Raw genomic sequence first — 26,671 nt, forward strand, 5'->3', positions numbered from 1 at the left:
GCTGTCCTTAATTGTCCTCCCCTTTATATAAAGGACCTGGGAGGTGGATCACCTGAGGTCAGGAGTTTGAGACCAGCGTGGGTGGTGGGCGCCTGTAGTCCCAGCTACTCGGGAGGCTGAGGCAGGGGAATTGCTTGAACCTGGGACATTGAGGTTGCAGTGAGCAGAGATCGTGCCACTGCACTCCAGCCTGGGGGACAGAGTGAGACTCCATTTCAAAAAAAAAAAAAAAGGACCTGGGAGAAGGGAAGGCTAGAGGGCTAGAGCCAGTTTGTATTTTATTAGGGGTCAGGATTTACTATGTTAAGTTTTAGGATGTGAATCTGGAATTTTCTTTTTTTTCATGTTTTAAGAAGAGAATAGAAAGATGATAGAAGATATTTGACACCTGAAATGCTACCTCTCAACACATTAGAAGTTTTTATATAGAGACAATGGATGTGTTTATTAGAAATCTTTATTTACTCATAAAGGAAATCTCCCAAGGAATATTTTGCTGTCATACCATACATATATTTGAATGAGAAATGGCATTTCTTAAAAAAAAAAAATTACCTCATTGACTCATTTCCACCACATATTTGAACTAATGAATTGCTGTATGGAAATATACTAAACAACTTACAGACATCCTATTGTCGTATATGTGATATAAATGTCAACATTTCCTATCAAAATGGCATCTGATGTTGGCCCTCTTAAAGTTCTGTGGCTTAAAATACTAACAGTAGGAGGAAAATAAACAGAGACCAAAATGCAAACTCAACAATGAGTAAAAATACCACAGTACAAGTGGAACCTTCTATAATTCTGTATCCCAGAATTTTTGAGAAGAGAAGATAACATCTTAAGCATTAAGAAATCCCAAGACCCTGTCCAGCTTATTGCTGTTGGAGAGCCCCAAGACCCTTTAATGCTCCAGTTTAGAGGATCATATTGTCAAGTCAGAGAGGCTTAAACACAATAGCATCTTCTGGAACCCTAGTGACCTGTATTGAGAGTGGATCTGGCGCTTTTGTTCTTTTGAGAGGCAGGTGTAAAGGATAACACACGGGATTATCTTATTTTAAAGCATCTAAAAGCCAATCCCATCCCCCTTCCTCATTCTCTTTCCTCTCAGCTTTTAGAGTCTTTGATCAGGTAAATTCTAAAGGCAGACGCTAGTGAAGAGTAGGTAGGTAGGCTTGTGTTTTCACTTCTCCGTGCCAGCTTTCTGTCCTCACCCTCCTCGTCAGTTAGCACTGATGAATGTGTAGAATTAGTGAAGGCTGGGTATTAACATCGGTAATGTAACTTTCAGAACCTCTGCAGTGTCTAAGGGGAGGAAGGTTATTTCCACCCCACCTCGTGGGAATTCAAAGGTAGCTTTCCGATTGTGATCAGGTTAAACAATTCCCTCCAGGCCAGCGTGTGGGAACCTGCACATTCCTACCAAAGCAACGGTAATTGTACACAAGTGTGTTTTCAGATTTCTGTCATAGCAAGCAAAAGGGACCACAGCCGTGTTTGTTAGAGCCCCAAATGCCTGTTTGCCACAGGGCTGGGTTTTTTTTGTTTGTTTTGAGATGGAGTTTCGCTCTTGTTGCCCAGGCTGGAGTGCAATGGTGCAGTCTTGGTTCACTGCAACCTCTACCTCCTGGGTTCAAGTGATTCTCCTGCCACAGCCTCTCAAGTAGCTGGGATTACAGGCATGCATCACCACACCCGGCTAATTTTTGTACTTAGTAGAGATGGGGTTTCAACATGTTGGCCAGGCTGGTCTCGAACTCCTGATCTCAGGCGATCTGCCTGCCTCAGCCTCCCAAAGTGCTGGGATTACAGGCATGAACCACTGTGCCAGGCCAGGCTGTTTTTAAAACTTACGTTTCAGAGGTTAAAAATTTGTCTTAAGATAAAAAGACTTTCTTAATCATCTAATGTATCCCAGGATCTATGTCTTGGTTTTATAAGACAGGCTGGCAGTAAATTTCAGACCTGACCTAACAAGTTAAAATCCTACTCCTGGGCAGAAGTCTTCTGTGTTAGTGACAATGTGGAAATGAAGGAAGGCTTCCATTTGTGGATAAGTGTGATTGGACAAAGGCCAGGATCTGCAGGTAATACAGTGGAGGAAACTTAGCAGGACCTGATTGTTCAGATTCTTCTATGTTCCCCTCCTCTGGGAATAGGGAGGGCACCTCTCAAATGATGGTTTTATGGTGTATTTCAGGGGAAGGTTAGAAAATCCTTTCTAAATTTTATGACCTGCTTTGGGGAAAGAAGGGTGGGAAGGTGAGAGTGACCTGCTGCTACTGCTGTTTTCTCAGATCCCAACAGGCCGTGTTTTAGGGTAGTATGTCCTGAAGCACATCGCTTATAGAAACAAATAAAAAAATTGTTTGCTTTGTGATGCTGTCCTGATCTGTGGATCTTAATTGCTATTACTCTGAGATTTTCTTAAAGCATATAATTCTTTTTAAATGCTTTATGCCAGCCAAAGTTAGAAGAGAATCCTAAACTTATCCTTAAAGTGCAGGATTATCATGGTTTTTGTAGTGCAGCATTATCTGGTTGGAAAACTAGGTCAGAAAGACCCTTACCAGGTTGAGTTCCTCCAAGCAATTTCAAAGTCCATCTGGAGGCCGGGCATGGTGGTGGCTCATGCCTGTAATCTCAGCATTTTGGGAGGCCGACACGGGTGGGTCACCTGAGATCAGGAGTTCGAGACCAACCTGGCCAACATGACGAAACCCTGTCTCTACTAAAATATAAAAATCAGCTGGGCATGGTGGCGGGCGCCTGTAGTCCCAGCTACTTGGGAGGCTAAGGCGGGAAAATCACTTGAACCTGGGAGGCGGAGGTTGCAGTGAGCCATGATTGTGCCACTGCACTCCAGCCTGGGAGACAGAGCGAGACTCTGTCTCAAAAAAAAAAAAAAAAAAAAAAAGTTCATCTGGAGGCAGCACCGTGCAAGTTGTGCCTTTGACCATTTTCCCAATTGGTGATTCTACCAGTGAGAGAGAAATTCACATCTTGTATTTTTGTGTGTGTGGCCTGAGTAAGAGTGCCAAGGCAGCCTGCATTCTTAACTGATCCATTAACTTTCTTCCTCCACAGATCGTTTCCTTAACAATGCTCCCTGATTAGAAGAAATGTCTCCTCTCCTCCCAGTTACTCAGTGAACAGCGCTCTCTCCCAAGGGGCCACATGAAAGGGAAACCCAGGCACCACCTCCGGGCAGGATTAGCAGCCTGGGAGGAGCCACTTTCTGTTCTTTGTGAAAGCTAGAGCTGCTCTGCTCTTGAGAACAGCCATTTACAAAATGGGGCGAAAACGACGGCCACACCCTCCATCACTCTTTTTCTCCTGGTGCTTTCCAGAGCCTTTGGAGACCTGTGCCGGGGGTGGGGCTTGGAGCTCCCGTGCCGATGGTTAAAGGTACCATGGCTGGGCCAGTGCGGACCCCAGTGCTGTTCCCCACTACTCCTCTGCCTCTCTCCACTTCCCAGTTCCTTCCTGGTCAGGAGCCCGGCAGCCCCAAAGACTGGTAATAGCCTGGCCTGTACCAGATGCCCTGTTACTTCCCCAGGGGTCTCCTCCTTCCCACACTTCATGATGCCCAGTTTCTGTTCTGTTTTCTTTCCAGGAACGTGTCCCTACCTGGAATCCCCAGGGGGGCTTCCATGTTCCATTAGAGAACTTCACATTCAACCCTCGTTTTCTGTTTTAACCAATCTTGCCAGTAAGTGGTGAGATCCTTCAGGGTAGGACCCAGGTCTTACTCTTCAGTAAACTCCTAGTTTCAGGTGTTGAAATTTGGCAGTCAGTCAGGCGTTGTTGAAATGACCAGTAATTGTTTCTGTACTGTAGGTAATAAAGCTGCGGAAATTATTCTCTTCCTGAAACCTGAAGACTTCAGAAATGTGAGGAAGCCAGGCCTCAAGTGCCCTCCTCTTTCAGATGTTAGGATAAGAGGTTGAGAAGTTGTTGTAATTGAATGAACTGTATAAGCACAATGTCATGAACTTCTAATTTCCTCTTGCTGAAGATCATGACACTGTTTGCCCATTGTATGTATGTATGTATGTATGTATGTATGTATGTATGTATGTATTTAGAGACGGACTCTGGCCCCATCACCCAGGCTGGAGTGCAATGGCGCAATCTCGGCTCACTGCAACCTCCGCCTCCCGGGTTGAAGTGATTCTCTTGCCTCAGCCTACTGCGTAGCTGGGATTACAGGCACACGCCACCACGCCCGGCTAATTTTTTGTATATTTAGTAGAGATGGAGTTTCACTCTGTTGGCTAGGCTGGTCTCAAACTCCTGACCTCATGATCCGCCTACCTCGGCCTCCCAAAGTGCTGGGATTACAGGTGTGAGCCACTGCACCCAGCCTGTTTGCCCATTATTAAGCAGTAAAAGGACAACCAGTTTTTTTTTTTGTTTTTTGTTTGTTTGTTTGTTGGTTTTTTAGTTAGACTTCACAGACCATGAAATTCACTCTTTTAAGGGGTACATTTCATTGACTTTTAGTATGTTCCAAGAGTTATGCAGCTATCACTACAATTAATTTTAGGACATTTTCATTCCCCCAAAGGAAACTCTGTACCCTTAGCTTCTGTACCCCTCATCCTCCCAATCCCTCAGCCCAGGCAGCCACTAATCTGCTTTCTGTCTCTGGCTTTGCCCGTTCCTGGGCACTTCATATACATGGTGTCATACAACATGTGATCTTTCGTGTCTGGCTTCTTTCACTTAGCATAATGTTTTCAAAGTTCATGTTGTGGAATATATCAGCATTTCATTTTTAATTGCCAAATAATATTCCATTGTATGGATATGCCACGTTTTGTTTATTGATTCATCAGTTGACGGACATTCAAGTTGCTTCTATTTTTTTGGCTACTTTGAATAATGCTGCCGTGAACATTCATGCACAGGTTTTTGTGTGGATGTAAGTTTTCATTTCAGGTATGTACCTAAGAGTGGAAGTGCTGGGTCATGTATTAGCTCTATGGTTAGCCTTTTGAGGAACTGCCAGACGGTTCTCCAAAGTGACTGCTCAGTTTTTCATTCCCACCAACAGTGTATGAGGGTTCCAGTTTCTCCATATACTTGTCAGCACTTGCTATTGTCTGTGTTTCTGTTTATAGTCGGTGTGAAGTAATATTTGATTGTGGGTTGGATTTGCAATTCCCTGAATGACTAATGATGTTGAGCATCTTTTCATGTGCTTATGGCCATTTGTATATCTTCTTTGGAGAAATGTCTACCCCACCCATTTGCCCACTGTTAAGTGGGCTATTTGTTTTTTTATTGTTGAGTTGTAATAGTTCTTTATACATTCTGGATCCTCGACCTTTACTCTTAAAATGATGTGCAAATATTTTCTCCCATTTTGTGAGTTTTCTTTTCACTTTCTTGATAGTGTCTTTTGAAGGACTTCTTTTTAAAATAAAACTAAAGACTGATCACTCATTTTATTTCACCTTTTAGTGAGTATTCATTCCAAATGACGGTCAAGAAGATACTATTTTTTTTTTTTTACTTTTTATTTGGGAATAATTTTAAACTTATAGGAAGGTTGCAAGAATAAGAATAGCACAAAGCTCATATATCCCCTTTACCCAGATCTTTTTTTTTTTTTTTTTTTTTTTTTTTGAGACAGAGTCTCGCTCTGTTGCCCAGGCTGGAGTGCAGTGGTGCAATCTCGGCTCACTGCAAGCTCTGCCTCCCGGGTTCATGCCATTCTCCTGCCTCAGCCTCCTGAGTAGCTGGTACTACAGGTGCCCGCCACCATGCCCGGCTAATTTTTTATATTTTTAGTAGAGACGGGGTTTCACCATGTTAGCCAGGATGGTCTCGATCTCCTGACCTTGTGATCCACCCACCTCGGCCTCCCAGAGTGCTGGGATTACAGGCATGAGCCACCGCGCCCAGTCTCCTTTACCCAGATCTAACTCTTAATTTGTTGCTCCATTTGGTTTCTATTTCCGTTTCTTCCTCCCCTTCCCCTCCGCCATCCCCCCCGCACAAATAGACAATTTTTTTCTGAACCACTTGAAGGTAAGATATATATCATAACCTTTTATGTCTAAGTAATTCACTGAGTATTTCCGAGGAATAAGGGTAATGTCTTTCATAACCACAGTACAGCTACCAATTGCAATAAATTTTTCACTGATGTGATGCCTTTATCTAATCAGCTCTTCAGATTCCAGGTGACAAAATGTCCTTTACGGCATTACTTTTCCCCTCCAGTATAGGATCTTGTCTAGTGTCGGGTGTTGCATCTGAGTGAAAAAATTAATGTCTATAAGGGTATTTCCTAAACATGTGATTAATAATCATACTAAAGTGTATTATGCATTACAGCTTTCAAAGTGTTTTCTTGTTTCTTTATTATTAAATATATTTATTTTTCCTCATAGCAAATACTTAGAATAGTGCTTAGGTTAGCATAGTAACTAATACTTAGATTGGTTCGTGCATCAGAATTTCTAGCAGGTCTCATCTGACCCATCTGCCCTTTAGGATTCCTCACATGGAGAAGAGGCTTCCATGTCCTGAGCACTTCCCTAGAGAAGAGGGGGTGAAGGAGATAGGGATGGACCAGTCTACCTGTTGAGAAAGAGACAGAGAAGTGGGTCTCAGTATCCGAGGTTCCTGGGTTGACCTGCAGACATCACAGGGCCAGGTCCTTTCCTTCCTAGCAGTGCTATTTGTCAAGACCCCTGTCTGTCTCCCCTGACAGAAACATTGCGGTGGTGGGGGTTGTGGGGGTGCATCCAGCATGAATTCTCCTTATCGTTTTGACTCTTCCTGTTCCCGCCTGGCTCTCATTGAACCCACTTAATCTTCTTCCTGATGAGTTGGCCCAGGCAGGCCCAGCTTTCCCTTTAACAATTTGTCATCTTATACATCACCAGATTCCAAACTCTCTCAATTCTAGCAATTCTGCTTTAGGATAAGAAAAAAGCGTGTATTACTTTTGCAAACAGGTGCAAAGTAAATTGGTAATCGTACTGAAGTACATTATGCATTGCAGTTTTTTAAAGCATTTTCTTGTTTATTGTAGTTATCTGGCCTCATAACACACACTTGAGGTAGATGTGGCACATGTGATCTCCATTTTGTCCACAGAGGAACTGTGGTTTAGGAGGTGGCCCCTCACCAAAGCTCACACCTGTCTTCTCTGATTTTGCATCTTATGCTATTTCCACAGGGCTGTGCTTCCTAATCAGTTTGTTAATAAAACTCAGTATTGTGCATTTGGTAGGAATTGGTTTATACACCATTCAAGAATAGTAAACATTTACACCCTAGATTTTTAATGATCTGAGACAGCACCGAAGTATATAAAAAAGTTAGGCTCCTGAGCACTTAATTCTTCAAGGAAGGGGATGGAGGAAAATCTCTATCTGCAGAGATAATAGCAGCTTAAGGGTATCTTAAATGGGATGCTTCTCAGGACTCTTGGAGACTTAGAGCTAGTGGTGTTTAATAACCACAGTTTACATCACTCAGAGTCATGGAATAGTTCTATTGCATAAACAGAGCATTTTATGGAAACTTAGAAACCCTCACTGCTGCAGGACAAATGCTGTACAAAATCGAAGATGCCAATTGTCTAGATTATTTTCCCCTAACAATTTTGTATGAAAAATTTCAAACATACAGAAAAGTGAAGATCATTGTACAGTGAACAGCTTTATTCCCACCTCTTCCACTCCCACCTGTACTCTCACCACCCCCCTACCCCCACATCTAGATTATGCAGTTGTAACATTTTTCTACGTTAGTTTTTTGGGTTTTTTTGAGACGGAGTCTCACTCTGTCACCCAGGCTAGAGTACAGTGGGGTGGTCTCGGCACACTGCAACCTCCGCCTCCAGGGTTCAAGTGATTCTCCTGCTTCAGCCTCCCAAGTAGCTGGAACTACAGGCGCCCGCCACCACACCCTGATAATTTTTGCATTTTTAGTAGAGACAGGGTTTCACCATGTTGACCAGGCTGGTCTCAAACTCCTGACCTCAAGTAATCCTCCTGCTTCGGCCTCCAAAAGTGCTGGGATTACAGGCGTGAGCCACCACGCCTGGCCTCTACATTAGTTTTATCACATAAATCCAGGCTATTTTTGATATACTTTGTTAATAAAATCATTAAGCATCTTTGATGTTTTGGATGGAAGGCACCCTACAGTCTCTTGGTGGCTGAGTTTCCTTTTATTTTTCAGAATCCCTTTGAACCCCGGCAACATGGGACAGAGCTGAGAGCAAGGGCCTTGATTCTCATACTCAAGCCTCCCGACAGCCCGCTGCATGCGCCAGGCTTCACGTTGTACTCGTTTGTCCAGATACCATGAAAACCCTGGTCGGGTGTGGTGGCTCACGCCTGTAATCCCAGCACTTTGGGAGGCCGAGGCGGGCGGATCACGAGGTCAGGAGATCAAGACCATCCTGGCTAACACAGTGAAACCCCGTCTCTAGTAAAAATACAAAAAAATTAGCTGGGCATGGTGGCCGGTGCCTGTAGTCCCAGCTACTCGGGGGGCTGAGGCAGGAGAATGGCATGAACCTGGGAAGTGGAGCTTGCAGTGAGCCAAGATCGCGCCACTGCACTCCAGCCTGGGAGACAGAGTGAGAGTCTATCTCAAAAAAAAAAGAAAAAAGAAGAAAACCTTGATAAATATTAGTATGGGGATACATTGTCCCCTCCCCCCTTTTTCTCTCAGTTAAAAATCTGTCCCAGAATGAGGTTTGGCGGGACATATGGTTTGGCGTGCTTGTGGGGGCTGGCAGGGTGAGGTATGTATGGTAGTGTAGTTATCTGGCATCTTATCTGCTCACTGGAAATGTTGGGCACTGAATAGATTAGTCAGAGTTTCCAGAAATAGAAAATAAAGCCATATAATAAATGCAGAAGTCCCCTAGTTAATGTCAGCTGTTGTGTGATATCTGCCCTAAGTCATTTTATTGCCTTTGTAAGATTCTTAAACTGTTTATCATTATCCCTGCCTTTTTTAAAAATGGAAGCAACATCTTCCTAAAGAGGTTGTTATGAGACATTAGAAGGCCTGCTTTCATGCCTAATAGTTATCAAAACTGAAATTCAGTATAGCAGTGTTGAAGGTGAAAGAAGGTTTGGGTACTTTTAGGTAGCAAGAGAGATAATTATAAGCTTTCAACCCAAGGTCAAGATAAATATAAATCTGGAGGAGGAAAAAAAAAAAAGAAGTCTAGCTTCTCATTAGTAGGACAGCGTTCTCATTTTATAAGACCTTAATACCCAATAGGAAATGGCCGTCAATTCTGTTCATTTCATATTCTCACAGCCTGTCTCTCAGGTGGGAGAACACAGCTAATTCTTAGGGTAAGTGTCCTCTTTTAGAATAAAACCTTACCAAAGGAGAGCTGAAATGGGTTGTCCCCCAAGGCTGGGAGATGTGTTTGGTTCCCTTTGCCTCACTTCGACCTTTCTGAAATCAAGAAACAAACAAAATGAAATCGACTTGTGAAAGGATGTCAAAACGACATGGCAAATTCAGTTGGTTTGTTCAGAATTTTCTTCCTGTATTTCCTTTTTGAAGTTACAACAGTCATTCAGGAGCACGTCCAGAGGAGAAGAGCTGGGAGGGAGGACGGGTGGCTTCTAGAGTCAAGGCTGGGTTTGCCTAACCCTGACCCTCACGGGGGTGATGCGGATGTTCCGAAGAATGCATTAGCCTTTGACTTTAAGGACCGCGAGGAGAGTTTTCTTCCGAATCAAGTGAATGCGGGTGCATCACCCTGTCTTCCTCATTCCCTGTGTCAGGGAATGCATCGGTAGCCTAAATGACTTTCCCTGGAACTGAAGCATGTGTTGGCTCTACTGTGGTGCTTTAATGTTTCCTGAAATCCTCCATTTGGAGGATAGAGTGCCCAGGAGTGAGAGAATACTGTGTTATTAGAATGCTTGTTAAGAGGGAAAAAGAAAATAGAGCATTAACAGACAGGCAATGTTCCATTCCCCCGAGGAAGATTTATGTGACCTAGATGAACGGAACTACAAATCTTGGAGGGACAAGAGACTTCAGAAATGGCAAGTTCTTAGTTTGGGAGGCTAGGTATTGAAGTTTATCCAAATTAATTTGGAAGTTTAGATCAGTTGCAATCAAAATCCTTATTTGATTGACAGTGGGGATGGATAAAATGGAGTTTGGATTTGAAAATCTACATAGGAGGAGGAAGTAATAGTATATCTATTTTATTATACGTGTGTGTGTGTATAACTATAACAATTAGAATATCATAACACTGTTAATAGACCATAAAGTGACAAACTACCCCAAAACAAATCCCATTTTCACATAAAAATTTAATATATGATAAAAAAGCCTTCACAAATCAAAGGGGAATGAAAGGCAAGATTATTCATCAGATAGTTAGGTCTTCATCTTACACCGGAATAAATTCAATTGAACTGAAGAGTTAAATATGTATTACAAAAAAAAAAGCCAGCAGAAAAATCAATAGATCATATCAATCACTCCTCTAGAAATGGACATTATGAAAAGTAGATGTCAGTATGGAAAAATACTTTTACTACCAAGTGATATAAAATGTGGATTGAAGAAAAAAGGTGAAATGACTGGCATGCTTTATTGCCAGTTGGTTTAGGGGGTCAGGTGTAGATATTTTTGTTACTTGTTTTCCAAGATCTGTGATGTGGTTGGAGTAATTCAAGAGAAATGTATTTATAATATGCATGCTTTAAGGTACGTCTATTCCTACTTTTAAAAGTGGCAGATTTGTGTTTTTTAATGCATAAATTAGTTGAATGTTCATCCATCCAAAGAGGGATTTCTTCTGATAGATTGGGGTGATTAGCTGAAAGACTCAGTTCCTGGAGAAGAGAACACTAGTGGAAAATGCCCAACTGTTAGGGGAATGAGGAACAACAGTGCTGTTCACTGCATTCCTAACGCCGGCTTATCAGAGTTTTGTTTTCTGTTTCATACACTTAGGAAAGTATTGTTGCCACAAAGTGCATCTCTGCCTGTTAGAAGGATCCAGACATAGCGTAGACGGATTGTGCAATGGAGTCAGAAATAGGCTGTCCTGCTCCCAGTGAGTGACTTCCCCACCCCTTCATCCTCCTTGTAAATCACCGGCATTCCTGATCACTTTCCGTGGTTCCAGCTAGGTTAACAACAGAAGGGATCATTTCCCTCATAACAGTCTCCCCATTAGTCAAAAGTTTTACTCTCAAGTGACTAAAACGTTACTCATAACTGCTTACAAGGAGAAAAGATTTATTTTCCTTTTACTTCTTTAATGCACATCTGGTGGAGACCCTGATAAGCAGTAAGAAATGGAAAAAGCAGGGACCTAGAAAGTGAAAGTAGACAGATTTGGGTAGTGCATGCAGGCTAATTAATGATCCCAGGTGGGCTGGAGTGTTCTGGTTACATTTTCCATGGGTCCAGCCCTAGAGCAGAGACCATGGGCATCAGCCTGCCCCTTCCCATTATGTGGCTCAAGCACCACCGTGTGCCAAAGGGCGGGAACATTAGATTTCCCCACCGCTGTAACATCTGTAAATTCCACAGTCCATAGAATCAAAATGGAAGAGAACCTCACGTTTCTGATTGCCAGTCAGAAGGAATTTATTTTTGAAACCCAGTTTGCTCTGTTATTTGTAGTGCAAGATAGAAATATCTTAACCGATTTTATCCAGTTCTTATTTAATGTCTGTGATTTTAGGAGGAAGAGACTATTGTGTCATAGGTATTTGAAATTCACAAGCCCCTCTCCAACCTAATTTTACCGAAATGTGTTGGTTTCCCCTTTCCTTAAACTCACGGACCACAGTTACTAAATAGTTTCCAGAGTGGACTGACATGCATTTTTCTTTACAGCTCTGTCATTACTTTCTTTATTATCAGAGAGTACACAGGATATTGAAATAACCTAAAATCCAGAGAGGAGGAGGAGCCAGGGGGGTGAAGAGAAGTCCTGACCTATTTTAGAGCCCTTGGGCTTCATAGGTAACCTTGAAAATGGAAACACATCATTGCCCATTTTATTGAGGTTGTGATTAGCAGTAAAATATAATGCAGACTAATTATTATGTTGCAGCCAATTAGCAATAAAGAGAAGCATTTTAATATACAAATAATTAGATTTTAAAATTTTGGCTTTGGGAATTTACAAAGCCCTCTATTTGAAGGCTTGTACGGAAGACATTCTGAAACCAACTTTTTGTCAGATAAAGTCCATAAAGCTGAAAACTGACATGAGGAGGTATGGCCGGGTTTTCCTGCGTCTCACAGTGCAGTTAGGAGGCTTTGATACTTCATGGGCCCTTCTGCAAACTTTCCTTAGTATTAGGAAATGAAGTCTTCCAAGTCAGTCAAGTTGTAAACATGCAAAAATGCTGGGAGTGGCAGTCTCTCCAAACAAATGACCCGTTCTCACTGCGGTTTTCTCCTGGTGCTAGAACCTGTAACTCCTGAGTTGATTCTCTCCAATTGGCCAGAGAAATGGGCGTTGCTGCTGGAGCAGATGAAAAGGCTATTAAGGCTTCCTGAAGCACTTAGATTAACTAGCTTTTTTTTTTCTCTTGGAGCAAAAAGTTGGAACAAGTTTTTTGTTTTTTTTTTTTTTACTTTTTGGACATATGACAAATGTGTATAAAGTTGTGTGTTGTGCCTGAGGAGCTGGTGAATGGAGTTGCTCTTTTGAGAGTTGCTTTTATATCATTGCTAGCTGTGAGGTACGTGGTGGGCATGAAGAGAACCAGTGTCAGTCCCTCTGCAGAAGCAGAGGCTGTGAGCTCCACTGTGAGCTGCCAAGGCCCATACTGCTGGGGGATCTTTAATGCATGGCGCAAGGCTCCTGTGCCCCAATCCCGGAGGAGCGGTGACAGTCCAGGGAAGAGAGGGGACCACGTGAGTGTTACATGTTCTTGATCACATTTTTCTCTATTGGAAAGGAGGATGTTGAAAGTTAATCATGTGGTTTTTCTAGTCACTTAAGTCCTTAACACACTGGATATACATAGTTCAAATACAAGGAAATTAACCTGGTTTCAAATGTCTTTTCCTCATTTTATGGCACATGGAGTATAGAGCATATTCAAAACCCTCCCATCCCCCACTTTGTAGACAACACATCTACTCAGAAGGTTTTAACTTAACTTTCTGTATTCTGGTGATGTCCACGAGGTTTTGAGGCCTTTTTTTTTTTTTTTTTTTTTTTTTTTTTTTTTTGAGAGAGAGACAGGGTCTTGCTCTGTTGCCCAGGCTGGAGCACGGTGTTGCTGTCATAGCTCACTTGCAGCCTCTACCTCTAGGGTTCAAACAATCCTCCTGCTTCAGCCTCCTGGTTAGGTGGGACCATAGGTGTGCACCACTATGCCTGGCTAATGTTTTTTATGTTTTGAAGAGACAGGGTCTCACCATGTTGCCCAGGCTGGTCTTGAACTCCTGGGCTCAAGCAATCCTCCTGCCTCGGTCTCCCGAGTAGCTTGGACTACAGTGCTCAATACCACACCCCACTAATGTTGCCTTTTTTTCCTTTTTTTTTTTTTTTTGTAGAGATGAGATCATATTATGTTGCCCAGGCCCCTCTCAAACTCCTGGCCTCAAGCGATCTTCCCACCTTGGCCTCCCAAAATGCTGATATTACAGGCATGAGCCACTGTGCCCAGTCACATTTTTTATCTGTTAAAAAAAAACAAAAACCAAGTTTGGATGTTATGATGTTAGTAGTGTGTCTGGTTCTGAAGTTACAGGATAGGAGATAGAGAAAAATTGTGACCTGCCCAAAGTCTCAAAGCTAATTCTAAATAACTAAAGTTGTAGAATCTTTTGTTTGGAGGACCATCTTAAAGGTGTGATCTGTACTCAGCCATTTGTCTGATGTGTAAATCCTCAGTCTGTAGCTTCCCGGCCACGTGGTCACCAAGGCTGTGCTTGAACATCCCTGAGACGCCTTTCAAGGAGCACCGTTCTGTCTTTGGGCAGCTCTAATTGTTAAAAAAAAAAAAAAAAAAAAAAGTCTTCCTTACGTTAGGCTGAAGTCTGTTCCCCATGTAGTTGTTCCCCTTGGGGCCATGTAATACAAGTCTACTTCCTCTTACAAAAGACAGCCCTTCAAATGTTGGACAACAGCAGTATTCCCGGCCCTCCTGGCTCCCCTCCCCTCATCCACTACCAAGGAAGCATGGCTGTGAGTTTGTTCATCATCCTTTGAATGTGCTCCAACTCATGCACAGCCCCTTTAAAAGGAGGTGTGCAGAACCTGATTCTCCCAGTGGAGCTTAATCAGTACCTGTCATCCCCATTTTCCCAGTGACAGATTTTTATTGAGACAGCCAACACTTGGATTGGTGTTGCCTTTGACGAATTTCAGGTTACTGCAAAGTGAATCCAAATACCAACTATTTTCAAATAAAAGAAAGGAGAGGCAAGACTTAGCAGCAGCAGGCTTTTTACAGTCCTTCAGGTTTCAATTGTGGGACCTTACACGTGGTGCTATTGCAGCTCCAATTTTGTTTTTTTCTTTTAACCCATCATTTCAGCTTGTTAAACTTTGGAGATTCATATTCTGTCATTGAGAGTTGTCCTTCCTTCCTTTGCTGCTTCAGAGGACTTAGTGATGCCTTTATTAGAGCTTTTACTACATTGCATTATGGCTCTTTATGTCTTTCCTCCTGAGTTCTGCTAGGATCATAATCATGTCTCATCATATTCCTCTTCTCTCTTCAACACTGACAGCTCATAGTAAGTGCTTAATACATTTTCATTGAATGAATGAGTCAAAAGTATTTGCTCTTCCAAATTCTGCTTATTGATAGTTTATTAATAATTATATATTATTCATGCTGTTTCAATATTTATCGTACTTATTTGAATATATACATTTATATTTATATAAAGTAATAAATGTGGGTATTTTATTAATAAATAAGTTACTTATTAAGTACATTGAAGAGGACAATGGCTAGATGCTGTTTTGCAGCCCACTAGAAACTTTCCCCTGGGCCAGGCGCAGTGGCTCATGCCTATAATCCCAGCACTTAGGGAGGCCAAGGCAGACGGATCACTTGCGGTCAGGAGTTTGAGACCCGCCTGGGCAACATGGTAAAACCCCATCTCTACTAAAAATACAAAAATTAGCCGGGCATGGTGGCATGTACCAGTAATTCCAGCTACTTGGGAGGGTGAGGCAAGAGAATTGCTTGAACCTAGGAGGTGGAAGTTGCAGTGAGCTGAGATCGCACCACCACACTCCAGCCTGGGTGACAGAGCGAGACCCTGTCTCAAAAATTAAAAAAAATAAAAAAAAAAAAGAAACTTTTCCCTGGGATGACTGTTGATCTGTTCTTTGACATTCTTTTTAAGATAAGGTTTATTTTATCAGGAATTTCCCTAATTTTATAGTCAGTTCTGTTACAACGCTACATACAGTTTCCTTAAAATCACCATGCTGTTCACAGTGGTACAAATGAAGCCATAAGACTTATGGGAGAAATGGGATTAGGGACCAAAAATTTATCACTGACAGAAAAAAAAAAAACAGGAACCCAGTAAAAACAGTAACTTAGTTTTACACATGCTAAATGGTTAAGAAATAAATAGGCCGGGCGCGGTGGCTTACGCCTGTAATTCCAGCACTTTGGGAGGCTGAGGCAGGCGGATCATCTGAGGTCAGGAGTTTGAGACCAGCTTGACCAACATGGAGAAACCCCATCTCTACTAAAAATACAAAATTATCCGGGCGTGGTGGCACATGCCTGTAATCCCAGCTACTTAGGAGACTGAGGCAGGAGAATTGCTTGAACCCGGGAGGCGGAGGTTGAGGTGAGCCAAGATCGTGTCATTGCACTCCAGCCTGAGCAACAAGAGTGAAACTCTATCTCAAAAAAAAAAAAGAAAGAAAAAAAAAAGAAATGCTACAATAAATATGGCATCTACCTTGTAAAAAGCCTGAAGTTTGCTCATGGGAGCTGACATGAGGAGGGTTGGAGCCGGTGGTTATAGTGGCGTGGTGGAAGGAGGATTATCTGAACTTGGAAAGAAGGTTGTAACAGCAGATCTGAATGTGCTACACTCGTAGCACACACAGTCAGCTGAGGAAGGCAAGGGATGCTTGAGGCTGTATGGTTAATGTATTCCTGTGGGCTCCAGAATGCGGCTCAGTTTTCTCCATTCACCTTGTACTTTTTGCAGACAAAATTGCACCTAAGCAAACGTTACATTCACATTAGAATAAACTCACATTTCAAAGCAAGTGTCGCAGCAGCTCCTGTTTCTTTGTTGTGTTATTTGCTTGATCAGTAAAGCATCTTTTTTGTTCTTATAGTAATTCCAGGCACTGGTATATAAGGATACATAAATTATACTACCCACTCACTCTCTAAAACTCTTGTTCTTAAAGATTGGCTTATTTTTGCTAGGAGGAATGAAAGTACATGTTAAAGAGACATACTTGGCTGATCTAGCCATTTTCCAAAGTCTCCCCCCGCCAGAGGAATATCTCATAAGTCTGGTTCCTAATTACATTTAGCAGATTTCTCTAAAATCTAAAAGCTGGAGTTTGAATGGTTCTTACTTTTCAGCTAGTATCTAAAAGGTGATTCACTTAGGAGCAGCATAGAGGAGAAACTTGTATTTCACCTATCAAGTTTCTGATTTAAAAGTGAAATTTCAGCCAGGCACGGTGGCACACACCTGTAATCTCAGCACTTTGGGAGGCGAAGGTGAGTGGATCACCTGAGGTCAGGAGTTCAAGACCAGCCTGACCAACATGGAGAAACCCCATCTCTACTAAAAATACAAAATTAGCCTGGCGTGGTGGCGCGTGCCTGTAATCCCAGCTACTCAGGAGGGTGAGGCAGGAGAATAGCTTGAACCCGGGAGGCAGAGGTTGCAGTGAGCCGAGATCGCGCCCTTGCACTCCAGCCTGGGCAACAGGAGCGAAACTCCATCTCAAAAAGTGGAATTTCACCTCATATCATTTACATGTGTGTGATTTGATGATGGCTTTAACTGAAAATAGACTAATGCCAATAGAATCGGAGACTCTTAGAACTGGAAAGGACCACAGATATCAGGAAGCCCAAACTTCTCTCTTTTTCAGATGAAGAAACCAAGGCTCTGCGAAGTGGAGTGTTACATGCACAGTCACTTAGCTAGTGGTAAAGCCAGAACTTGAATCCAGTTAATTTTGAAACTATAATATGTTGCCTTGCAAAATTGTATCATAGAAGGACATAAAATCTGTGCATTTAGGAGGAAATCTAAACTCATATTATTTCAGCTTTTTAGTCTGTTTAGTAAGGGAGTTTCACCAATTCAGTTACTACTGATAATAAGCTTCCCCTTGTTTTATTTTTGTTTCTTTAAGAAATCTGGGCCGGACACTGTGGCACACACCTGTAATCCCAGCACTTTGGGAGGCTGAGGTGGGCGGATCACATGAGGCCAGGAGTTCAAGACCAACATGGCCAACACGATGAAACCCCATCTCTACCAAGAAATACAAAAATTAGCCGGGCGTGGTGACACGCACCTGTAGTCCAAACTACTTGGGAGGCTGAGGCAGGAGAACCACTTGAACTTGGGAGGCAGAGGTTGCAGTGAGCCGAGATTGCGCCACTGTACTCCAGCCTGGCTGACAGAGGGAGACTCTGTCTCAAAAAAAAAAAAAAAAAAAAAAAAACTAGTATGACACAAACTCACCAAAGTGGCTATTCCTCAGACTCTGTGCTTTATAAATTCACGTTTGTTAGGGCAGACAGAAAATTCTGTTTCTTTGTACCCAAAAAGATTTAAGCATTTGTCGTGCATTGATCTGGGGTTTTGAGGGGGAAACATCCTTGGTTATGTCTGTGGGATTTGTGGTGCCTTCTGGAGGATTAAGATGTCATTGCCTCTAGTCAGGGCATGCTCTCTTTTCCAGTTGGTGGGTCTTATTTTGTTTACATCTGCTTCCTCCCAGCACTGACAGATTTGAAATGTGTGCCTGAAGTGCACCTTTGTGCCAGGCCCATAGTTTTGACTGGGGCCCTCATGACCCATTGGCCATGGTCACTTTGCCTGGGAGCAATCATCATTTCTAGGGTATAGGAACTTGAAGCAAAGAATTTGCTGCATTTTCAAAAAGCAGGAAGGGGTGGTTAAAGTGTGGATGGAGGGGTAATCTCCCCCCACCCCCGCCCCAGCCCCTGTTTTGTAAGAGAGGCTATCCAACTCATGTATTTCCAGCCCCGAGTGTTGGCAAAAACATTTTCATATTGTTCTCACTTTTCTGACTGAGTCCAAAAAGTTCCTGGGAAACAGGTTTTGTTTTTCCTCGGGGGATGTTTGGATTTGAAAACACCAAATTTCAACTGCAATCGTTTGTCCAAGTGTGGTGTTGAAAGTACTGTCTAGATCTGAGTAAATCAGAATCTGAAGAAATATAGCCAACGTCACTCATTAACAATGGGTTTTCCAAGGGTGAGTGACATGAGGCCATTTGTCTGCGGTGAGGTAGATGCGCTCCTCTTTTCAGTGGCCCCCTGAGGCCACCAATGTCACGGGCAAGCACATCCTCGGTTTGGGGCCATTAGCTGAATGCCCTCTGTTTCATCTTGCCTTTTCTAGGCCGCCCTCTCCTGTCTTTAAGGTCAGGGTTTCAGAATGTCCTTCAGTTCTGCTTTAGTCAGGACTAAAAGCCTTCCACAGTGCCTTGACGAGGAGGACATATAAGGAAGAGGCACAATTCAAGTAAAGTCAGTCTGTATTGATTTTGTGAACCCGGGGAACAGTAAGCCAGCCTTCAGTGCCGCCTGGCTGCCGGGCGCATGCCGTTGTCAGACCGATGAGCGAGGCTCCATGCAGACAGGTGACATATTCGAGGTGGCAAGAGCAGCAAGAGCTTCTAGATCCTGTCATTTTGCTTCTGACAGTGTCTTTGTGTCTTTGTACAGTTGGAGGACCTGACTGACACGTGAGCCCCCCTTGGCAGCCATCATCTTCAGAATACTGCTTTCCTCCCACGGGAGGAGCTTGTACCTCTCTCATGTGTACAGGGTGCTTATGTGCTCATGAGCAGGCAAAGGAGCAGGGGACGGTTTCTTCCAGATCACCCTTCCAGGTGCTCTGGAGTTGATGTGGCCTGGCCACCTTTTCATCATCGCCCCTCCAGTTCCATTGCAGTGATGCATTGCAGGCTCTCCTCAGGAAAATGGTGATTTCAGTATTATATTAATAATTAGCAATTTTTTTTTTTGCAGTTTTAAAAAATTGACTCTTACCCTCTGCATTTGAGAAAAGTCCTTATTATACGTTTCTGTATTGTATCATCTCCCAGTTTGATGTGTATGTATCCCGATTGTATTTCACTATCATTACGGAGATTTTTATTGTGTCAAGACAAAACCCTGTTTCTGTCTCCCCAGCCCCATGTACTTTGAGCTTAGTCATTCGGGCATCATTTCTTCCAGCATTCACTGCTCCTCAGTGTTTCATTTCCATTTAATTTTTCTATTTAGTTTTTAGCAGTTCTCGTTGGCTAATTTTAAAAAGATTTGTACTTTGATTTGCTTATAATGAGTGTTTTAAGTTACCTGCTGACTGCGCAGTTGTTTGACTTTGTATCAGGTTTCCGGATTTAAAGCCAGTGTTCTGTTGAAAATTTAAATACTATAGAAGGCTGAAAATATGAATCCTCTGACAGCTCCTCATAACAATTCCCAGGGTAGCAGCTGTTTATATTTTCTTATTTTTTTCTTTCTATGCACATAAAAGTGTGTTTGTCCTCATAAAGAGTGTTGACTGCTATAGACGGAGCGTGCAGACCACAGGCGTATACCTGGAGGCTTCTCCCACCTTTGATTATTAACACTGCTCGCCTTTAACATTATTTGCTTTTGATTGCTCTTTTTGTTATACAAAAATAACCAAGCTATTAGAATCTTTTATGATTTAAAATAGAACATTAGTTTTATTGTATATTGAAAATAGTTCCTTAAACTTCATAATGGCTTCCAATTATTTCACACTTGCTTGCGTTATATACTATTATTTTATTGCAGTATGATGTCCAATTATGGAAACAACTCCAGAGAGACATGATTTTTCTGGCTTAACATGTAATTGTTTATTGAGTATTTTTCTCATTATGATTTTTTTCCTTTTGAATTGCAGTTATAAAGGAACTTGCTTAGATTTTGTAAATTATTATGTGGTTAAAGAAATCAACGATTTATCAAGTGCTCACTCTGTGGAAGGCATCGTGTGCAGAATCGAAGTAAAGGCAAAGATTGAAAGAAATCATTCCTCAAAAAAGTTGTGTGTATTAAAATATGAAGAGCAGTAAGGTTTTTTGTTGTTGTTGTTGTTATTTTGAGACAGAGTCTCACTCTGTCACTCAGGCTGGAGTGCGGTGGCACAATCTCAGCTCGCTGCCACTTCCGCCTCCCGGTTCAAGCGATTCTCCTGCCTCAGCCTCCTGAGTAGCTGGGATTACAGGTGGCTGCCACCAGGCTGGGCTGATTTTTGTATTTTCAGTAGAGACGGGGTTTCACCATGTTGGTCAGACTGATCTCGAACTCCGGACCTCAGGTGATCCGCCCACCTCGGCCTCCCAAAGTGCTGGGATTACAGGAGTGAGCCACCACACCTGGCGTAGGATTAAGTTTTATTGTCATTCAAATATGAACATATTTAATCTTGTATAATAAAATATAATTTATTCTATAAGAAACATAATGTGTTGCTTGCTAATACCAAGGACATTAAGTGTAGACTAGAAGTTCATCAGAGCAGATGGCTAGCAGGGGCTGTGAGACTGGATAGGGGTTAACCGTGAGGCTGAAAGATGGGATTCGAAAGTGCACCTGTGTGGGAAAGGGGAGAGCGCAGGATCTTGGCGCACTGGACGGTGGCTGAAGGAGAGGGAGAGGGGGGCAGGCCTTGATGAGGAGTTGGGAGGGATTCTGTCTGTGATGAGAAGCCACTGGAGAGCTTTAAACCAGCTTTTGTGAACACGGGGAGTAGCAGTGTTGTTATAAGTAGTGATTATTGTCAGCATGATCGATTTACATTTTAAGAGCTCACTCAGGGTGCTGGCGGACAGTGGATTCTGTAACCATTATTTTGTTTTAAATAGCGTCACATAAGCAATAATTTACCCATGAACCACCAGTTAATATTGGGGGAATGAAAACAATGGATGCTGTGATTCTGAGCTTAGATGATGGGGACAGGACAGAGTGGGAGTGGAAGGGGGTGGGTGTGATTTTCGTCCTGTTGAGCTGGAGGTAATGGTAGGACAGCCAGGTAGACAAGGCCCTCAGGCAACAAGGCCATTTAGGTTAATTTGTGTAGCTGCTTCTTGAAGAAGAAACAAATGAAGGCCGTATTACCTTCTGCCTTCTTTTTTGAAAGCATCTCTGAAGATAAAGTTCAGGTGATTGCAGGAAAGTAGAAGTCATTCTGACATGCATTTCCGAAGCATCAACTTGGTTGTCTGAGAGCATTTCCCTTCCAGGATTATAATTGTGAGTGGTAAGCAGCACTAGTGTATTGGTGACTTACTCCAGCTGTATCCAAGGACAGGTAAAACTTCCCACTGTCTCTTTCTAGAGGCTACTTTGTAGCATTTCAGATGTGAAAGGTGACTCCAGCAGAGAGCTCATCTATTTATTATTTATTTTTGAGACGGAGTCTCACTCTGTCGCCCAGGCTAGAATGCAATGGCGCAATCTCAGCTCACTGCGGCCTCCACCTCCCAGGTACAAGTGATTTTGCTGCCTCAGCCTCCTCAGTAGCTGGGATTACAGGAGCCCACCACCACACCTGGCTATGTTTTGTTTTGTTTTTGTTTTTGTTTTTGTTTTTGTTTTGTAGTAGAGATGGGGTTTCGCTGTATTGGCCAGCTGGTCTTGAACTCTTGACCTCAGGTGATCCGCCCGCCTCAGCCTCCCCAAGTGCTGGGATTACAGGCGTGAGCCACTGCGCCCAGCCCAGCGAGCTCATTTCTTTATTTTATTTTATTTTATTTTATTTATTTTTGTTTTTGAGACAGAGTCTCGCTCTGTCGCCCAGGCTGGAGTGCAGTGGCGCGATCTCGGCTCACTGCAAGCTCCGCCTTCTGGGTTCACGCCATTGTCCTGCCTCAGCGTCCCCAGTAGCTGGGACTATAGGCACCTGCCACCACGCCCAGCCAATTTTTTTTTTTTTTTTTTTTTAGTAGAGATGGGGTTTCACCATGTTAGCAAGGATGGTCTCAATCTCCTGACCTCGTGATCCGCCCGTCTCAGCCTCCCAAAGTGCTAGGATTACAGGCATGAGCCACCGCGCCTGGCCCAGAGAGCTCATTTCTAACAAGCTATTATCACCATCCTCACTGCTTTCTAAACCTTATAGGTATGTAGCTTCAAAGTTTATATTTGAACGTTTTTCCTTTATTGATGACAAATTAAGGATAATGAAATGAAGTAATGGCAAGCGATGAAATAATGGCAAAAGATTTTATTTTCCTACAAAGTATTTATTACATGGATGTTTTATAGAAAATCAATGTAAAGGTTGATAGACTTGTCCTTTAAAAAAGATACATTTCTTCAAATATAGGGAACAGCAGAATGCTCCCTGTCACCCCCTTTGTAAAAACCTCTTTCAGCTTTGCAGCCATCATGGCTGGGGATAAGTAGATTTATTTCTTCTGTTCCTAAAGATTATTATAGATGAAAATCATTTGGTGTGGAGATTCTTCATTTACAGCTACGTAGGATGTAGCACTTATCAAAATTTCTGCAAATCAAGGAGAATAGTGTTCATGAACCTACCAGTGAGATATTTTAAAAGACCGCGTTCTGGAAAAGTGAAGGAGGATAAAGAAGCAGTGTTCTTCTGAGGGTGCTACCAACATTTGGGACTCTCAGAGGCCCTGTAGCCCAGTCCCCATTCCACTCCATGGGTAACACCTCATGGTTCTTTCATGGGTGTTCAGCATTCTCTTGAATGCTTCCCCTAAAGGCAGTTTGTTCTCCTGTGAGGCAGCCTAGTCCATTTCACTTGAAAATTTTCTTCTGCAATATGCATTGTTTGGTCCTGGTTCTGTCCATGATGCCATTTCCAATCAATCTGCTTCCTCTTCAGTGTGAGAAGCATCAGGTCCTTGAAGGTGCTCACAGTTGTACTTGGGGCAAGGCTCTGGAACTCCCTTTTCTGCATGGTCCAGTGAATCTGCATAGAGCCGGACTGGGAACAGTGCCTCAAACAGGAGCTCCCTGTTGCTGGCTTTCGTGAATATGTTGTTTTTGGGGGTAGCTCCTAATCTGGTGAACATCACCACTGCCTCCCACCACCGCATCCTGTCCAACCTACATGTCGGTAGAGGACCCACCCTAGGAAGGAATGAAGGAAAGAATTTCTAAGGTTGGGTCTTGGGAAGCAGAGACAGAGAAGGATCCGCAGCCTTATGGACAGCCTCCCTCAGCAGTGGGGCTTGCTGAGGCTCTTTAACCCTCCCAGCAGTGCTGTAGAACAGCTCTGTGCAAACTTGAATGTGCATGGGGCAGGGCTGGGCGGCACGGGGAGGGGGGTCCGCGAATGTACCGTCCTAACAAGCTCCTGGATGATGCTAGGGTTGCTGGGCCGTGGACCACACTGGGAATAGTGAGGCTGTAGCATACATCGAAGTCATAGTGTGAGCTGGTAGATTGTTTGGGACCAGAAAGATCAAAACTTACTTAGAAAAAAATGTCAAAGTCCTCTTTTCCCTGCTCCTCCTCCTCTAACTTAAAGAATTAAGGGCTGTGTGATAGCCAGAAAGCTACTTTCATGGATTCATTTTAGCAGCATCTCTGGTGCTCACGCATAAGCTAGTCAGGGAGATTGCAGGGGGTTGGCAGCACCCAGGTCCCCTGGGCCATAGCAGGTTGTGTGAACAGACTTGAGGAGAAGTTTTGTCTTCTGTCCTCAGGAGTACAAACAGGCATGTCTGAATGCTGACAGAGAAGTCATCGCCAAAGGATAGTAGATATTACCCAAGGCAAAGCCTGCTTCTCAGTGAACTGTTGCCTATGGGACAAGAATGATACTGGGAAAACAGTGATTGCTTTTAGGATATTTGATAAAGCTCTAAAGGAATAGAAGAGCTTCCACCTACACTACACTCCAAGTGACAGCTGTGTGAACTTGGTGGAAAACTTGACTGAGGTCGCTGAGACTGCTGGTGGAAATTAATCACCCTCCTGCTCTGCAGTGATATTGGCAAAAGATGAGCTTAGGGCCAGAGTGGTCCACATGCCTGGGTGTCTGTGGTCCCTCCCCTGCAGAACAGAATGAAACAGTCACTGCCATAAGATATCACAGACACTTCTTTCTACTAGGGTAACTTGGAGCCTTTCTTTGGCTACCTGGACCCTGATGAGAGGGTAATCTGGAGGAATAGGAAGTGGGCACAGGGATAGTGCATGGTACAGGTGACTCGGGTGCGGAGAGTATGTGTGTGTAGGGCCAGAGCTAAGAAAAAGCCTAGGATAAACTCGACAGATGGAAAGTCTTTTTTTTTTTTAAACAGGGTCTCACTCTGTTTTCCATGCTGGAGTGCAGTGGCATTGATTACAGCTCACTGCAGCCTCTACCTCCCAGGCTCAGGTGTTCCTCCCACCTCAGCCTCCACCTCCCAGGCTCAGGTGTTCCTCCCACCTCACCCTCCACCTCCCAGGCTCAGGTGTTCCTCCCACCTCAGCCTCCTGAGTAGCTGGGACTACAGGCACACGCCACCATGCCCGGATAACTTTTGTATTTTTTTGTAGAGACAGGGTTTTGCCATGTTGCCTAGGCTGGTCTCAAACTCCTGGGCTCAAGTGATCCGCCCACTTTGGCCTCCCAAAGTGCTGGGATTACAGGCGTGAGCCACCACACCCGTCCAACAGATGGAAATTCCTACTTTGCCTCTTGGCATGCATACCCAGCCTCTTTTCTAAATGGGTCTCAGTGATTGTCCAATGTGTGCCCCAAATCAGATGAAATACAATCATCAGATGCAAAGCAGGAAGGTGGTAGATGACGGACAGTATGTAAGTCGGTCTTTGCTGCTAGTGGCTTTACTTCATCCTTGAGAAAATCATCTTTGGTAAAGTCATAAGTGTTGAAACTCGAAACTAGGGTTTACCCTAGACCCACCCATTGGCCAACCTTAATGGGCACACTGACTTTTTAAGAGTGTGAAAGTTATTAGCTAAATGACTTGTTCCATGGCCCCATTATATCACAGACATGTTGATGTCTCTGTTATCAAAAGACGTGCAAAACACCCCAAAATCGTTGATGACATTAACAGGTAAAATGACAGGGGCGCGTTGCAACACAGAATGTGTGCTTCAGATGGTGACCAGGGCTGGATTAGCCTCATGGTTATGGCCCATTTGGGGTGTGGACATCAGCTTCTCGGATGAAGGTGTTAGGGTTAGCAGAGGGCAGCGGTAGGAAGGAAGGTGTCAGATCTATAATGCACCCCATCTGTGAGCCTCGCGGCTTTGCCTTCCACACAATATTTAGTAATGTAAATACTGGAAGCAGGGCTGCCTGTATCTTTATTTTATTCAACTTAATGTGAAAAGCAGGATGGTTAGATACTGGGAAGACTATCTTTTTAATTTTTTTACACCAAACATCTAAAATTATTCCTATTCAGTGCCTTGGTCTCACCCTTGGGAAAATTTCCAAAATAAGCTAACATTTTCCCCATTGTCTTCCCGCCTAAGGAATGTGTGCTGTGGCTTTTAGGTCAATGATAGCCTTGTCCTTCAATTTCATCTTTACTCAGAGTAGGCGTGCTGTGTGGTGCAAATCCATACATGTTTGTTTGAAAATCCTTTTAGAACCTTGCCTTGTTAGGACCTCCTACACCTGTGTCACAGACACAGAAGTACCGTGTTTAAGTATTGAGCATACACTAGTTTTTTGTGACAGAATCTCACTCTGTTGCCAAGGCTGGAGTGCAGTGGGACGATCTCGGCTCACTGCAACCTCCGCCTCCTGGGGTCAAGTGATTCTCCTGCCTCAGCCTCCTGAGTAGCTGGGATTGCAGGCGCGTGACACCACACCACCTAATTTTTGTTTTTTTTTTTTAGTAGAGACAGAGTTTCACCATGTTGGCCAGGGTGGTCTTGAACTCTGGACCTCAAGTGATCCACTGGCCTTGGCCTCCCAAAGTTCTGGGATTACAGGTATAAGCTGCCACGCCTGGCCTGCATACACTGGTTTTAAGGGTGGCTGTGCTTGGGCTGTGTATGTGCGTAGTACACAGTGTCATGTGAGCACTTAGTTAACAGCCAGGCAGGGGTGGACAGGCCAGGACAGCTAAGAATCGCGGAAGGAGTCTGGGGGTAGCAGGAAGGCTGCACTGGGAATGGAAAGCAAGCAGGAGATGATCTTATCCAGAGGAAGCAGCTAATAAATATTGAGGCTGGCAGGAGGATACAAGCAAACAAACAAAAAGTGGGGCCGTGTCTTTAAAAGCTTTCTCCGAAACCAATATTTGGAGTTTTCCTGTGTTCTTGGAAGTGACTGGAGATTGCATCCTTCATACCTTATTTCTCCTGTCAGGTCTCTACATATCACATCACAGGATTCAGCTGATATTGGCCTAAGACCCTTGGGGTCGGTGCAGTGGGAACGTGTTATAGATATAAATGCCTTA

At 43.4% G+C, this 26,671-nt stretch overlaps 1 protein-coding gene and 1 long non-coding RNA gene across 28 annotated transcripts in view, besides 4 other annotated features; both read left to right on the plus strand.

Moving 5' to 3' along the window:
• AUTS2 (activator of transcription and developmental regulator AUTS2) overlaps positions 1 to 26,671 on the plus strand; it is a 1,195,032-nt gene that overhangs the window by 1,127,330 nt on the left and 41,031 nt on the right. The gene's annotated exons all lie outside the window — the stretch shown is intronic.
• Positions 1,124 to 1,173: a silencer, noted in NCBI's record as "silent region_18232". NCBI's record gives its function as "represses an Ori minimal core promoter by ATAC-STARR-seq in GM12878 lymphoblastoid cells {active_cell/tissue: GM12878}" and the evidence as "EXISTENCE:reporter gene assay evidence [ECO:0000049][PMID:35858748]".
• Positions 2,572 to 3,092: an enhancer, noted in NCBI's record as "OCT4-NANOG-H3K27ac-H3K4me1 hESC enhancer chr7:70193362-70193882 (GRCh37/hg19 assembly coordinates)". NCBI's record gives its function as "activates a minimal SCP1, AML or CMV promoter by ChIP-STARR-seq in naive and primed H9 embryonic stem cells {active_cell/tissue: H9 hESC(naive and primed)}" and the evidence as "EXISTENCE:reporter gene assay evidence [ECO:0000049][PMID:30033119]".
• Positions 3,093 to 3,612: an enhancer, noted in NCBI's record as "OCT4-NANOG-H3K27ac-H3K4me1 hESC enhancer chr7:70193883-70194402 (GRCh37/hg19 assembly coordinates)". NCBI's record gives its function as "activates a minimal SCP1, AML or CMV promoter by ChIP-STARR-seq in naive and primed H9 embryonic stem cells {active_cell/tissue: H9 hESC(naive and primed)}" and the evidence as "EXISTENCE:reporter gene assay evidence [ECO:0000049][PMID:30033119]".
• Positions 10,933 to 11,042: a silencer, noted in NCBI's record as "silent region_18233". NCBI's record gives its function as "represses an Ori minimal core promoter by ATAC-STARR-seq in GM12878 lymphoblastoid cells {active_cell/tissue: GM12878}" and the evidence as "EXISTENCE:reporter gene assay evidence [ECO:0000049][PMID:35858748]".
• On the plus strand, positions 13,235 to 20,332 carry LOC105375347 (uncharacterized). The gene is made up of 2 exons (XR_927653.4): positions 13,235 to 19,201; positions 20,161 to 20,332. It is a non-coding gene; the product is annotated as an uncharacterized LOC105375347 (long non-coding RNA).

This window comes from Homo sapiens, chromosome 7 (assembly GCF_000001405.40).
Source record: "Homo sapiens chromosome 7, GRCh38.p14 Primary Assembly".
Taxonomy (NCBI): domain Eukaryota; kingdom Metazoa; phylum Chordata; class Mammalia; order Primates; family Hominidae; genus Homo; species Homo sapiens.